Source organism: Homo sapiens, chromosome 10 (genome assembly GCF_000001405.40).
Source record: "Homo sapiens chromosome 10, GRCh38.p14 Primary Assembly".
Lineage (NCBI taxonomy): Eukaryota > Metazoa > Chordata > Mammalia > Primates > Hominidae > Homo > Homo sapiens.
The window spans coordinates 83363738-83380076 of record NC_000010.11 but is presented as its reverse complement, the minus strand read 5'-3'; positions in this window follow the sequence as shown (position 1 = coordinate 83380076).

Genomic DNA, 16339 nt, shown 5'->3' with positions numbered 1-16339 from the left:
ATTACTCTAGTATATTGACTTTGGAAACAAAAGACATCATTCTATTTATAAACATTCTGTCTTTAGTAGTGGTATTTCCATTTACAAAATACAGTAATTCTTGATTGCTGAAAATGTCAAATCCTAGAAAATATAGCATTATCACACGTGATGTTAATATTGTTCTCCAAATTTGTTGGCCGAAGATTCATTTGATGAATCCAATTTTTCTGAAATAGATGATTCTGATGATTCAGATGATTCTGACATTAGTTCTGTTCAGAAATAACTCCAAGAACAGTTTTTTATATTTTCATACTGAAAATTGGCCAGATTTTCTTCAGCCTCAAAAAGTGTGCTAATGTAAAATTAAATGAGCATTAGCAGTGAACTGCACTTTTTTTTTTTCTAACTGGGAAAAGGGTATCCAAAAGTATAGAATTTTGCTGTGGAACCATCAATAATGTCTTCCTCTTCCAACCCATGTCAGTCACAAACTCTATGGTCACAATCTCCTAAGCTATAAACAAATAACATCTTCTGTCTGTCCACAGACTTTCACCTTCCCACTCTGTTGCTGAAGTGTCCCTGGTGCAACTGCTCTTTAAGTTCATAACCACCTCTCCATTCACTGTTTCACTTTATGCAGGGCCTCTCTTAGATTAACCCATGGAGCTTGGGTTCCATGGCCCATTGTCACTGTTATGTTCCTGAAAGTCCTGAGTCCTTTGTAATCACCCACCTTCCCTCTACTTATGTCAGAACAGCTTTGCTTTGATTAAAAAAATTACAAAACCAAAGAGATTCTTAGTCACCAAAAATTTAAAATTATACCATCTTTTAGTATGTCCAGAAAATTGCTAGGGAAAGTCAGACTAAACTCTATTTGTAGAGGGTTTGAGGCAGGCTTGCCCTTATATACTTTCGGGTCTTAGAGACTAAAGTACAGACAGAAATCCACAGACCCCAGGTCTAAATATCTATGTTATAAATTCAGCTAACATACTAAATAAAATGTGGTATATCCTCTGCCTTAACAAATATATTTCTTCATAATGACCTGGAAGGCCAGGTTTCAATTTAGTATTTTTAGACTCCTTAGAATTCTGTGAGAACTGGCAAAATAGAGAAAACAAACAACAATAAACCAGCTGATGGCTTGCCCTGTTCTATTCTCAACAGCAGCTTCCTTCTACATGATAAGGGTCACCGGAGTCAGCATATCCATCTACCATGTTTATAACAATGCTCCCTGGTGTCTCCAGGGCCTGAAGGTACACAAGATCAGAGCTCAGTCTGATCAAAGGAGGGTGGACATGGAGAAGGGTCACAAACAGCCCCATGAGGCAGGCTTAGACTATTTTGGCAGGGAGTTCTCAAATGCCAGGTATCCAAAAGGTGGTTTAGATCCAAAAGTCAAGTTGGAATTTCAGTGTGCAGTTTTCCTTTACCACATGGCTAAAGAGTGTGCCTGCCCAGCAAAGGACCAGAGTGAGGATATCTAATGCATTCAGGTGAAGGTAGAGGCCCTCTTGCCAGGGTCTAAGGACAACAGTGACTTTAGAAACCTCCAAGGAAACAGCTCATCAAGTAGACATAATGAGCTAAGCCAGTGAGAAAGCTGTTGTTGTTGAAAGATCACAAACTGTTGTTTTATTTTTTCAAACTTATTTTAAATTCAGGTGTACATGTGCAGTATGTACAGGTTTGTTACATAGGTAAACACGTGCCATGGTAGTTTGCTGTACAGATCATCCCATCACCCAGCTATTAAGCCCAGCATCCACTGGCCGTTCTTCCTGATCCACTCCCTCCTCCCACACTCCAACAGGCCCCAGTGTGTGTTGTTCCCCACCATGTGTCCATATGTTGTCATCATTTAGCTCCCATTTATAAGTGAGAATATGTGGTATTTGGTTTTCTGTTCCTGTGTTAGTTTGCTAAGGATAATGGCCTCCAGCTCCATCTATGTCCCTGCAAAGAACATGATCTTGTTCCTTTTTATAGCTGCATAGTATTCCACAGTGTCTCTGTACCACATTTTCTTTATCCAGTCTGTCACTGATGGGCATTTAGGTTGGTTCCATGGCCTTTGCTATTGTTAATAGTGCTGCAATGAACATACATATGCATGTGTCTTTATAATAGAACTATTTATAATCCTTTGGGTATATACTCAGTAATGGCATTTCTGCCTCTAGGTCTTTAAGGAATCACCACACTGTCTTCCACAATGGTTGAACTAATTTACACTCTCACCAACAGTGAAAAAGCATAACTTTTTCTCCACAACCTCACCAGCATCTGTTGTTTTTTGACTTTGTTAATAGCCATTATGACTGGTGTGGGATGGTACCTCATGGTGGCTTTGATTTGAATTTCTTTAATGGTAAGTGATGCTGAGGTTTTTTTAAATGTTTGTTTGGCTGCATATATGTCTTCTTTTGAGAAGTGTCTGTTCATTTCCTTTGCCCACTTTTTAATGGGGTTGTTTTATTCATGTAAATTTGCTTAAATTCCTTATAGATGTAGGATTTTAGATCTTTTTCAGATGCATAGATTGCATAAATATTCTCCCATTCTGTAGGTTGTCTGTTTACTCTGTTGATACTTTATTTTGCTATGCAGAAGCTCTTCAGTTTAATCAGATCCCATTTGTCAATTTTTGCTTTTGTTGCATTTGCTTTTGGTGCCTTCATCATAAAATCTTTGCCTCTGTCTATGTCCTGAATGGTATTGTCTAGGTTTTCTTTCAGGGTTTTTATAGTTTTGACTTTTAAATTAAAGTCTTTAATCCATCTTGAGTTGATTTTTGTATATGGTGTAAGGAAGGGGTCCAGTTTCAATGTTCTGCATATGGCTAGCCACTCCTCTCAGCACCATTTCTTAAATAGGGAATCCTTTCCCCATTGCTTGTTTTTGTCAGTTTTGTTGTACATCAGATAGTTGTAAGTGTGCAGTCTTATTCCTGGGTTCTCTCTTCTGTTCCATTCATTTAGTTGTCTGTTCCTTTACCGTACTATGCTGCTTTGGTTACTGTAGCCTTGTAGTATAGTGTGAAGTCAGGTAGCATGATGCCTCTAGCTTTGTTCTTTTTGCTTAGGGTTACCTTGGCTATCCGGGCTCTTTTTTGGTTCCATATGAATTTTAAAATAGTTTTTTCTAATGGTGCGAAGAATGCCAATGGTAGTTAATGGGAATAGCATTGAATCTATAAATTGCTTTGGGCAATATGGCCATTTTCACGATATTAACTCTTCCTATCCATGAGCATGGAATGTTTTTCCATTTGTTTGTGTCATCTCTGATAGCTGCACTCCTAGGTATTTTATTCTGTCTGTGGCAATCATAAATTGGAGTTCATTCATGATTTGGCTCTTGGCTTACCTGTTGTAAGTGTGTAGGTATGCTAGCTTTTTTTTGCACAATGACTTTGTATTCTGAGACATTGCTGAAGTTGCTTATCAGCTGAAGAAGCTTTTGGGCTGAGTTGGTGGGGTTTTCTAGATATAAGATCATGTCATCTGCAAACAAGGATAGTTTGACTTTCTCTCTTCCTGTTTGAATACCTTTATTTCTTTCTCTTGCCTGATTGCCCTTGCCAGAACTTGCAATACTATGTTGAATAGGATTGGTGAGAGAGGACAACCTCGTCTTTTGCCGGTCAAGGAGAATGCTTCTAGCTTTTGCCCATTCAGTATGATATTGGCTGTGGGTTTGTCTTGCATGGCTGTTACTATTTGGAGATATTTTCCTTCAGTATCTAGTTTATTGAGAGTTTTTAACATCCAGGGATGTTGAATTTTATCAAAGGCTTTTTCTGCGTCTATTGAGATAATCATGTGCTTTTTTCTTTTGTTCTGTTTATTTGAGGAAACACCTTTATGGATTTGCATATGTTGAGCCAAACTTGCATCCTGGGGATGAAGCCTACTTGATAGTGGTAGGTAAGCTTTTTGATGTACTTCTGGGATTGGTTTACCAGTATTTTGTTGAAGATTTTTTACGTCCATGTTCACCAAGGATATTGGGCTGAAGTTTTCTTTTTTTGTTGTATCTCTACCAGGTTTTGGTATCAGGATGATGCTGGCCTCATAGAATGTGTTAAGAAGAAGGCCCTCCTTTTCAATTTTTTGGAAGAGTTTCAGCAGGAATGGTACCAGCCCCTCTTTGTACCTCTGGTAGAATTCAGATCACAGATTGTTAATGCATGTGTTACAGGAATACAGTGTGAAGCCTGATACATCCAGTTCTCATCTATTCCAGAGAAAGGAAAAGATTTTACACCCAATCTGAAATTTTCAGAAGCCTCTGCAAGATAGGGACAGAAGAAGCCATGTTTTGGGACCTTACTTACACAGTACTAACTCAAGATGAGAGGGCAAGTAATCATCAGATCTCTCTAGTTTCTTCTATCACAGGGTCCTTGCAGTTTTGGTAAATGGGGGCTCTACTATATCCATGGAAATAGATGGAGAAAGACAATGGCAGTGAGGCCCATTGAGAGACCACAGTGAGTAGCAGACCAATCAGAGTCCCAGAGGGCAGTAACGGCAACTACATCAAAAGAAACTTAGAAGCACTTGGGAAACATTCCAGGGACCTCCCTGTACTATTGTGGGGCAGTGCTAGTTCTTGCAGGGATTTGGACTTTCAGGAAGCAGGTTATACAATAGAGCAGAAGCCAGGGGACATTTACAATTACTTCTTAGTTGTTTTCAGTCATGAAAGTGGCTCTAGGATCTAATGGTTTATTACCAGAGTTATATAAGGCTGTACACGTTTGGGATAGGGAGAGTAAACAGATGAAGTTAATTGGGTAGAGTATTACCATAGACAATAGTAGTGCTAGCTAAGTTTGCTCAGGAAAAAGGAGTCTCAGACTTTTCGTAATGTCTACCATGTTCCTGGCATTTTACATTTGAAGTTTAATTCTGAAAAAATCCAGTGAAATAGGTGTTATGTTTATAAGATTCTGAGGCTCATTTAGGTCAGAAATTGTTCAAAGATACATGGTAGACAGAGATATGGTCCCATAGCAATGCTAGTCTCTTCTGCTTTGCTGCTTTCTGTAATTACCAAAAATCTCTTGCTTAAGAAGAGTCTCCTGGCATCTTGGCAGTGAAGGTTATCTCATAAAGAAATGCTTGTACTCAATGTAAATAGCATCACTTTTATGACCTTGGCTGTCTCTCCTGTTTCATAGTTCTAGGTATTAAATTATATTTTATTATGTGTATATCTAAAATAATATTGCTGTTCTGGGTAGAATATTAGAAGTTACCACAAAGGAGACTTGTGTATTAAATTGGTATGCCAAATCTATAAGAGACAATCATTTCCTTGTGAATATTTAATAAGTAATATTTGCGGGTAAAATAGAATCCAAGGGGAATATATATATATGTATATGAAATTTTCAGAACACCATTTACATCCACTTTTGATGTCCTCTCTACTTTTCTCTATTGAACCACTTTTTCGTTTGTGCTACCCTTTCTCCAAATTTCATATTCAGAATTTGTTGCTTTTCAGACCTCCACAGGATAAAATACGAAGCTGGCTCTCTCGGCCATTGCTGGTGGACAAAAATCTGGGTGATGATGGAAAATAATCATTTCAATTGCTTCAAATAATTTACATGCTTTAGAGCGGTATGTATAAAAAACTCTGGCAGCTGATTGAATTGTGGATTTTTGATGCCAATTTTATGAGGCTATGCAAACCCAATGCTAGTTTAGCAAAGGTTACCACCAACAGAGTGACTGCAATATGCCCATAGGTGAGGAGTAACAAGGATTATACAGAGCAACTTGGTCATGAAATCTTTATTTATGATCACATTCAGAAAGCCATGAACCTTTCCCACTTGCTATCATATTTTAATTCACTGCCACGCTTGTGAGCACACATATAAATCAGTGTGCATCTTTAAAAGATAAGTCTCACACCAAATTCAGAGTGAACTAGTGCATCCTAGTTTGCAGAATCTATGTGACTTGACTACAAAGAGCATTTTTGATTAATCAGAACTAAGATTTTAATAAAGAAACAGCAGGTAGGCTAACCACAAAATTAAAACTCCCAACTGTCTCAGAGTAATAAAGTCATAAATATAAAAGTGCTCAAAATACCTCATTTGCATCTTTGAATAATGTCCTTGTTTAACAAGGATGGGACACTGGGTTGACCAGCAGAGGGCAGGTTCCTGTAGATGTTGGCACTTCCTGGTTTAGTCTTGTTGCTGTTTCTTCCTCAATCTTTCACTGTGTAATGGAGCAAGGCCTGTGTGGTAATTAATTGCCATCTGTGGTGTGTTTTTATCAGTGATTTTTACACCCGATTGCTCAATTGCAATATCATATCAGCTGCATTTCAACACAACCTGGAGAACACAAATGTGCCTTTGGTTTCCTAATCGTGTTTGGTCAATTTAAGAATTCTTTTTTATTTTTTGTCCCCAGAAATGATGTCAGTTTATCTCTTTGACAGTAGTACAGCCTCCCTGTTAATAGTCAAAATTCTGTGGCTTTTTGAACAAGGTAGATCAAGGTTTGAAATCAGGCTCTGCTGTCTAGTGGCTGTGTGACCTTATACTGATTTTTAAAATTACTTGGTTACTTAAAGTGCATCTATTTTCTTAGAGTAAAATATAAATAATATTATATCTCCAGGCCATATTGAGGTTTAATGGTCTTAATAATTCATGAAATATGTACTTGAAGATTTTCAGCTTACACATGTGTTCAGAACATAGCCCCCCAATAAATTTACTTCAGGAATTTCTGAGCACCATAACCATGAGCTACACTAACTACCTGTATGCAAACAATTGAATCAAGAATACCATCTGCTGTCTTAGTGGTTGTAAACATGGCACAGAAATAATAGCAAGTACATTTCATAGTTCATAAAATGTTTTTAAGTGCATTATTTTTCTTCAACTTTTTAGCTAGGCAGGGCAGATATTAGGGTCCTCATTTTACTATGAGGAAACCGAGCCTCAGGAGATTATGCAAGTTGTCCAATACTGCATGGAGGGTTGATGATAGATGTGGTGCTTGACTATGTTCACTCGGATGCCCAGTCCAGGGCATTTTCAACCCACAATCTGGTACCCCTCAAGAGTCAAAGCACCTTCCTTTCTCAGTCTCAGCCTCTACATCTGCAACAAAGAGAACTAGGCCCAATTACCTCCTAGTTCCTTTCCAGCTCTGACATTCCAAGACGTCCTAGGATGATTTTCATGAAAGGAATGGTTCTGACATCAGTAGAGAATTACCACTATAATCATAATATTTGTATCATCCTTATGGAATGAGGCTTTATGGCTTAGAAATATTGATACAGCTTCTTGGAGGAAACAGAGGGGGTGAGGAAAAGGATAGTAAGGCCCTACTGGTCCCAAGGCAAGTTAATTATTAGATATTTAAAAATTTAATTGTTTCATTTTCCTTTTCTAACACCTATTAAACATCACCTAGCCTCATTCTAAATACCACCCCATAAAACAGTACACCATAATACAATTCTATCAAACTTCTTTCAAAACCAGTAAACTACAACACATCAAATAAATGTCCCGTCTCTCACTGACATTCAAACTCCACACCTTAAAACCAAGCCAAACAACTCCAAACAACAGAAGTAATCATAGTAACAACAATAATAAAAATAAATATGTATATACTTTCTCTGTACCAAAACTGTGTTTAGTGCTTTAAAGGCATAAATTCACATATGTTTTTTGACCTTTTGAGGTAGATACTATCCATGCTATTCAGCCAAGTAACTTGTTAAAGGCCTCCTCTTTATCTCATTTGCAGCATTTTTTGTCCATGCTATCATCATTTATTTGCTATTTAATAGTTTTTTACAGGTCTTTTTCTACTCTTAGTTGCGAATATATCACTCTACAAAGCATTTGAACTGATCTTTTAAAACACAAATATAACCACGACATTCTCATGTTTAAATCGTTTATGAGATTTTCATTGCACTTAGAATGAAGGTTAACCTCCTTTCCATGCCTAAAAGGCATATCTGGTCATGATCTACCTTTGTAATTTCATATAATCTCATGCCCCTTCCTTTTTCTGTTATCATCCTCCAACCACTTTAAATTCTCTCAGTGACTTGGCTAAACCAGGAATCTTAGTCCACGGCTTTTCCCATGAGGTTCTCTGACTGGAATGCTTTCTTTCCTACTCTTTTGTTATTCCAATGCACATCTCAGAATGTCATTTCTTCAGAAAGCCTTTACTGGACTACCTAATTTCAGGTAGGATACACTTAACTCTTGGCTCCATGCCCTGCTCTTGAATTATACTTAATATAGTTGGTAGTGAGAGTTATGTGCATATTTACTATTGTGTGTGTTTTCATGGAGGAAGGGTCCATGTCTGTTTATCATTACAGGGCTTTTTGCAGAAAGCAGAAATGAATTAAATAGCAAAGCCAAAGACTGAACTTTTTCATTCTTATTAAACATCCTTATTCTTTTCACCCCAATTTCTTCAACCAAAAATGACAAGACATTTAAACAAATGATTTCTTAGATAAAAATAAAATTGAAAGAACATATAAAGCCATAATTTAAACAAAAAGAAATAAAAACTGCTCAAGGATAATAAAAGAATAAGTAGGGGTTATATGGATGATCTCCATTTTTATGATGTAAGAATTTCACTCTCATTTTATCTTTAAAAACAATACTAGTTTACATGATGTTAACTTTCAGGTATTCTGGATCTAACTAAAAAAGAAATGATAAGAAAATTACTGGGGAAAGGGAGCTAATATCCATCCAAGAATTAGGAAGGTACTCAGGGATGAAATTGAAAAACTACTGGGCCCAACATTTAATAGGAAAGGCCATATGATGTAAGTCATAAAGTCATAATTATATGGATGAGGTGAATAGTGTCTGGTTTACCAAACCCCGGAATAACAGATCTGGTAGACACCATCCCCAACCCAGAGCTTTGAAACTTGAAAGAATTACACATTACACTTAAGGAAAATAAAGTAACAAAGTTAAAAATAAAGATACATTTTAGAGATTTTATATAAACTCCTGGATAATAGTAAGATGGTATATTAAGGGGAATGAGGCCATTAGGGATCTATCATTTAGCTTTTTAACCAGATGCCTTGGGCGAAGACAGGTTTGTCAGGAAACCATCTGTTCATGTCATACATTCAGTACATATTTGATACAACATTTTAATTTATTACCTACCAGTGCATAGTATTTTAGTCCACATTTTGGTGTCAACTACTTTTTTCTTATTTTACTGAAATTGCAGAGCCATCTTTCATTTAAGTAGCGCCAATCTACCATTTATTAAATGATTGCAGGATTAAATGGTCCTCTGGGGTGTATTACCTCCCCCCTAACTTTACCTTTTAGTCTATCTGAGCTGTCATCCCAGGAAAATGATTTCCTACTCCCAGCCCTAGTGAGAAACCACTAGACCTGTTCTTCCAAAGGCTTTGTTCTTACCTTACATCATTTATTCATTTGTTTATCAATAAATATTTATGAAACACCTACTACAAACATCCTAGGTGCTAGAGAAATAAAATGGAAAATATAGGAACATGATTTCTCATCTTGCAGTGCATGCAGGAAAAAGAAAAAAAATGGGTGATTACAGTACAACCTGTAAAGTGCTACAAGAGAGATGTGCAAGAAATGAGAAAATTGAGAATGGAAAGTCTTATAGAGAAAATGACATTTGAGTTGAATCTTAACAGGATAAGTTAATAGGGCAACCCTTGGGAAGTGGAAGGCAACACTTACAGAAAAGGAGAGAGGCATGTTAGAACATAATATGCTTAAAAAATGAAATTTATTTATGTGAAGAAATACCTGGAGAAAGACGTAGGTATCAAGAAGAAGTAATGTTTAGAATTTAAAACTCTGTTCTGGAGTGATTTGGGAACACTGAGAGAAATGGTATTGGATTTTGAGAGAGATAAGGAAGCTAGGCAAACTTCCTGATCTCAAACCTATTCAGCTACATGGATTATAGTGACATACTCTGAGATGGGAAGAACAGGGGGTGAAACAGTTGTGTGTGTGTGTTTGTGTATGTATTAGAGAGGGAGAAGGGAGATGGTGTAAGATAATGGGTTCATCTTTGGACATGTTAATTTTGAGGTACCTTTGGGCTGTTCAGGCAGAGATGTACAAGAGGTAACGTGATCACACTCATGAAGATGAAGACCAGGCTTTTGTTGGAGATAATGACAACGACAAAATCATGCAATGGGGGAAGAACAGAAGGTGAAACAGTTGTGTGTGTGTGTTTGTGTATGTATTAGAGAGGGAGAAGGGAGATGGTGTAAGATAATGGGTTCATCTTTGGACATGTTAATTTTGAGGTACCTTTGGGCTGTTCAGGCAGAGATGTACAAGAGGTAACGTGATCACACTCATGAAAATGAAGACCAGGCTTTTGTTGGAGATAATGACAACGACAAAATCATGCAATGGGAGTGAAAGCCATGCCATGGGTACGAATGTGCAGAAAGAACATAAGGAATGGCAGAAAAAAATGGTGTCATTTAATTAGAAGTTACAAAATGATATGACTTCCTTAGAGGGAGGCTATTTAATTCTGCTACAATGGTTTCAGTTTAGCAAATGGGAAAATGTGAGCACATATCAGTCCTTCCTTCAATGAATGACTACTTACTGTTTGCCAGGCACCCAAAAAAAGAACAGGGCAGATTTATACAAAAGTTATGCAAGTTATTTTTTAAGCAAAATTAAGTCTAACTGAGATCCAAAGTGTGTTGAATTCTAATTGCCATCTCCTAAAAGCCAGAAAAAATAATCTTCTAGTTCCATGTTGCAATATTAGGAAGGGATATATAAGCAAGTATGACATTACATCCTTGGAAAAGCTGCATGAGTATGGAGTAGTTCTTTGCTTCTAATAATGAGAAGGGCAAGGTAGAAGTGGGAGAACTCTGTAAGACTGCTCAGAGGATATAAGTTTTGCCTTTTATATCTAGAAAGCTTGAAATATGCATTAATATCTGTCTCTGTAGCATAACTAGTGAAAGTAATTGAACCAGAAGCATAGCAGCTGCCAAACAATGGTCTAAAAGTAGCTGCAATATTGCATTCTACCAAAGGCAGGTGCCTGTATTTGGGAGTATCCTTCCTTGGGACCATAGAAGGATATGACTCCAGGAAATTGGTCATTTCTTCCTTCTCTGGCTATAGCTTCTTATTAGATAGAGATATAAATAGCTAAAGAAATAGATGATAGGTAGACAGGTAGCTAAGCAGAGACACAGACATATACTTAACGTGAAGGAGCCAAGGATGGAGGAGGCTTGGCATAAGGCTGCTGCCCTTTACCCCCTTGCCCTAATCCCAAACATCTTCTGGGGCTTTTAATATCTGATTTTTTTTTATACCTAAGCATATTCAAACGATTAGATTTTTCACTGATTATTCTAAAAAGTAACCCAAGTAGAGATAAGCTTGGATGAGTCAGAAGAATCTGAATGAATGTAAAAGTAAGAAGTTATCTGGTTCAAGAATCATTAGAAACAATTGTCTTTTCATCAAAATAGACCCATGGAGGCCTGGTGTGGTAGCTCATGCCTATAATCCCAGCACTTTGGAAGGCCAAGGCAGGTGGATCACCTGAGGTCAGGAGTTAGAGACCAACCTGGCTAACATGGTGAAACCCTGTCTCTACTAAAAATACAAACTTAGCTGGGCTTGGTGGTGCATGCCTGTAATCTCAGCTACTCAGGAGGCTGAGGCAGGAGAATTGCTTGAAACCAGCAGGCGGAGGTTGCAGCGAGCCAGGATAGCACCATTGCACTCCAGCCTGGGCAACAAGAGCAAAACTCCATCTCAAATAAATAAATAAATAAAATAGACTCATGGAGCCCCTCAGTTTTTGAAAGCTTGAATATAGCATGGAAGTAGATTGGGGAGTTAACCAAAGACTTTAAATTCTGATTACTTGAAAAATAATTAAAATTGATTTTTAATAAATATTTTATTGTGCTGGGATTTTAGTCATATTTCAGGACCTCCTCATAACCATTTTTTGAATTAAATTGTGCCTGTGACAGAGTTCTGTGTGCTTATTTCCCTAATAAATATCAAAGCCTTCTCATGCTTTTTATTTCTTATTAACTCTATTAAAGTTAAGCTATAAAGTACATGTTATCAGCTGGCCATTAAGGGACTAAAATTTTTTAAATAGAGAGAGAAATTGACAATATGCCTTTATATGCACATAGCTTAGCTTGTTGAAGAAAATAGGCAAATACATTTACTGTCTGTTTCAGTGGCAGAAAAAAAATAATTTAGCATTATTGTCCACTATATTTTAGCAAATATCATGGAAAAGTAACACTCTGAGAATCAGAAGAGCTATGTTCTCACACAGACCTTTTTATAGCTATCACTGTCATATTAATAAACTATGCCCTCATTGCATCTCCATTTTCTCATTTCAGAAGTGAAATAATTAGACTTTCTCTTTAATATTTTGTGAGTCTACGAAATAGTGTGGATTCAAAGTACCAAGCAAACCTTGGCAGGAGAGAGGGGTGTTATCCCAGGCTCAGGCGGATCCATGCCCACTTGCTACAAAAGATGATGAAACATGCTGGGGTCAGTAACTTTTCTGTGCCTGGTTGCAGGGATATTCGTATGGATCTCAGAAGCCAAAAGCTGGAAACTTTTCCCAGTTCAAGTAAGGCTTCCAGGTGAGCAGATTCTCTTCTGTAGACCGCCTTTAGTTATCTACTCTGAAACTAGCGGAAGCAAAGACTTCAATCAGATACACCTGGTGACCTGGTGCCACTGCTCATTACACAATTAAGTCTCTAAACAGCATTCCAGTCACAGTGAAATCCGGATTGCCATTGTTGGTGCATCCGCTGGCTATCTGTGTGTTGAATAAATATTGTACTTCTTATGACTCAAGCTTGCTGAGATGCTCCTAATTCTTTTATAGCATGAGGGTTCCCAACCAGGAACAATGTCCTGGGAAAGGGTGGCAAGCGCCAATGCACACCGTTTCACACACCTGTTTTTGTTTTCATAAATTTTCAATTACTTTTCCTTCTAGCTTAAACAAAGTAGGACATTATCTTTCCCCTCCAGGTGTTACATAGGCCATTCTAATGTGAATCAGCTAAAATACCAGAATAGGTCAAGTCTTTCGCTTTTAACCTCGCTAGTGAGCCTAGTTTAACAGGAGCCTTTAAGGCTTGCTGAGTAACACTGTCTTCTAGCCTCTGAGCAAGAAACCAGGAGAGTTAATAATGATCACAGTTGAGAATTCATTAAGCTGCTCTAATAGAAGTCTGGGGATGGGGGCAGGGTGGTTAGGCCCCTAAATTTGACCTGATTGGGCCTGGAGTCTGGCATGGAAAGACAACACTTTGTGAAACATCTAAGAGCTACGTGCTTAAACATTTTATTTATCCTAATACCATCTCTCTAAGATATAAATTATTATCACCACTTTACAGATGGCTCAGAAAGGTTAAGTAATTTGCCCAAGGTCACACATCTAAAAGTAGAAGAGTTATGATTAGAATGCAGATCTGTCTGTTTCCTTTCTTGTTTCTTAGTCTGTTGGGGAAGAAAGTGGAGGCTTAGGGAAGTGTAAAGCAACATGAAGAATAATTTGGGGAATCAAATTCCCCTGGTAGCAAGAAGCTGACTACAGCCTGATGTCACAGGGTGTGAGGCAGGAGCAGTGAGTGAGCCTGAATGAATTACAAGTAAGGAGGGTAGGCTGGGAGGGAAACACCCGGAGTTCCGGCTTTGCAGATAATTATCTGGGGCCTCAAGGATCTTTACAGAGAAGGCTCAACTTATAATTTACTAGCAATCAAGACCCTCCAAGGACCCTGTTCATGTTAGGGTTCCAACTTTACTACTCATTGCCAATCCTAACATTCCCCACATTATAGGCAAAGAGCATGAAGAAGTGTGCCTCTTTGCTGAACTTGCCATACCAGAGGGTTCTCCCTAGGCTCTGCAGATTTGCCCCTTCTCATGCACCTATTCCTTCATCAAAGCCCAGATCAAGTGTCTATAACTTCTGAGTCCCTCAGTTGAAAGTGAATCTCTGGCTGAACTCTCTTAACACATTTATCAAGTAATAACCACACGGTAGTTTGCATACAATCCTTGTATTCCCTGTTAGAGTCTCCGGTTCCTAAAGGTTAGAGCAAGAAATATGGTAGATAAAGTACATATTTTTGGTTTGAAAATCTTTCCTTCCCCCTACCCCAATGTCCTGCACAAAGTCAATGCTCAGAAAATATGGGTGAAATGAAAGAGCTAACTCCCATCACTGTGTTTCCTTTTCTTTTCTTTGGTAGAAACCACTGATTGCCCATTGAGCAAGTCTTTCTTTATTAAGCACCAACTCTGTAGATAGTTCTGTGTTGGACCAGGTAATCTAAAGCTTTTTCTGTCATGCTAAGATACCATGTTACCCTCCTTTGAGGGAAAACATGAATAGGTATGGAGAAGGGAAGTAACATAATTAGACTTGTTTTTCAGAAAGATATTTCTTGATGCAATGTTAAGCATTGAATGGCAGGAGTCAAGCAGACAGGAGCCAGAACAGAGGATGTTGGCGCCATGTAGGCAGGAGATGACAGTGGTTTAAATCCATCTTTACAACGGAGAACAGGACTCATGGCATAATATAACTGTGGGACTTCATAGCCCCTTTACAGCCCAGTGGCAGAAAAAGATTAATTTAGGATTAATTTAGCATTATTGTCTACTATATTTTAGCAAATATCATAAAATGATTACATTATCTGTAATCATTTACAGATAATGTTTAGTATCAGTCCCTCCTTTCCACTCCATGGAGTTTTACTTTTGTTCTTTGTAGATTTGTCAAACATAATAGAAAACATATTACTAAGAGAGAAAAAAAAACACATATTACTTTATGGAATAGATTATTTATAGCATTAAGCAGAAATGAATTGAATTCCTGAATGTGATGGTTTCAAAACACAGTCATGAAATAGCCATGCACCGTACCTATTTTGCTAATGCTGCTTACCATAGATGCCTATCCATCAGACTATAGCTAGAAAAGGGAATATAGAACCGGACCAGGTTATATGTATATATATAATCTAAATATATAGATTCATCATCCCTGACTCTGAAACTTACCCATCTTTGTTTGGGTGAACTTTATAGTCTACACAAATGAATAAGTTTCACCAAGATGACCTCTGACTACTCACTCATGGGCAACTCTGAGCATGAAAAATAGGAGTGTTTTCTTCAGTATTGTTCATGCTTATTGAAATAGGAGACTGGATCTGACCAGTATCAGTTTAACCAGCGAGGAAGAATACTCCCTCCATACCTGCCTCTAGATGTCTAGGACCAGACAACCCCATTCCAAGATGGTGACAATGCCCCAGAAAGCTGAAGGAGGATTTGCCCACTAGGGGAACAGATGGGAACTGAACAATGATGAAATATTTTTAAGCTATCAACCTTCTGGATGATCTACAGGCAGTGTGGTATCTGTAAAGATTACTGGGAGTCCTCATATCCGCAAAGGAACAACCAACTTCTGTCCTAAATCGAGGCAGTATATATTCCACCTTTCAACTGGATAATATGGGAAGGAAGACTCTCAGAGACAAACAATGAGAGTTTCTAGTGCATCCTTCGTAGGATATGGTGTATATATACAAGGAATCCTTTATATACAGACACACACGACATGCAGATTTTACCCCCTACAGTTCTAACATGCATGCATATAGGTCTTTACTTTTTTTTTTAACTTACATTTATCTTGAGGAATGTTTCCTATCAGCATACAAAGAACTTCCTCATTTTCTGGCATTAGAGCTGCATATTATTTCACATGTAGCCATTAAACAAGACACCTGGTGATATATGTTTAGATTTTGGCTAATTAGAGTTTAACAAATTATTGTAAATATGCTGTGATATATATACAATTTTTTGTATTTGTGGGAGTGTCCATTTCTGATAAAATCTCCAGCATAGTGGTTATTAGATGCTGTGTTCTCCAACAATCTGAACATTTTTAATAGAAAGTGGTATCTTAGTGACCTTTTAAAATTCAAAAATTCATATTTATCTTGTTATTAGAGACTAAACAGTATTTTGCATGTCAAAGGCAATTGGCATTACTTTTACCATTCATCTCCTTTATTGATTTTATTAACTTGTTGTTCTTTATACATAAGAGCAATTAGAACTTTGTGAGTTTTATTGCAAATATTTTGCACATTTTTAAAAATACGGTTTTGGCTTCATATATTGTATTTCTTTCCCTAAAGACAT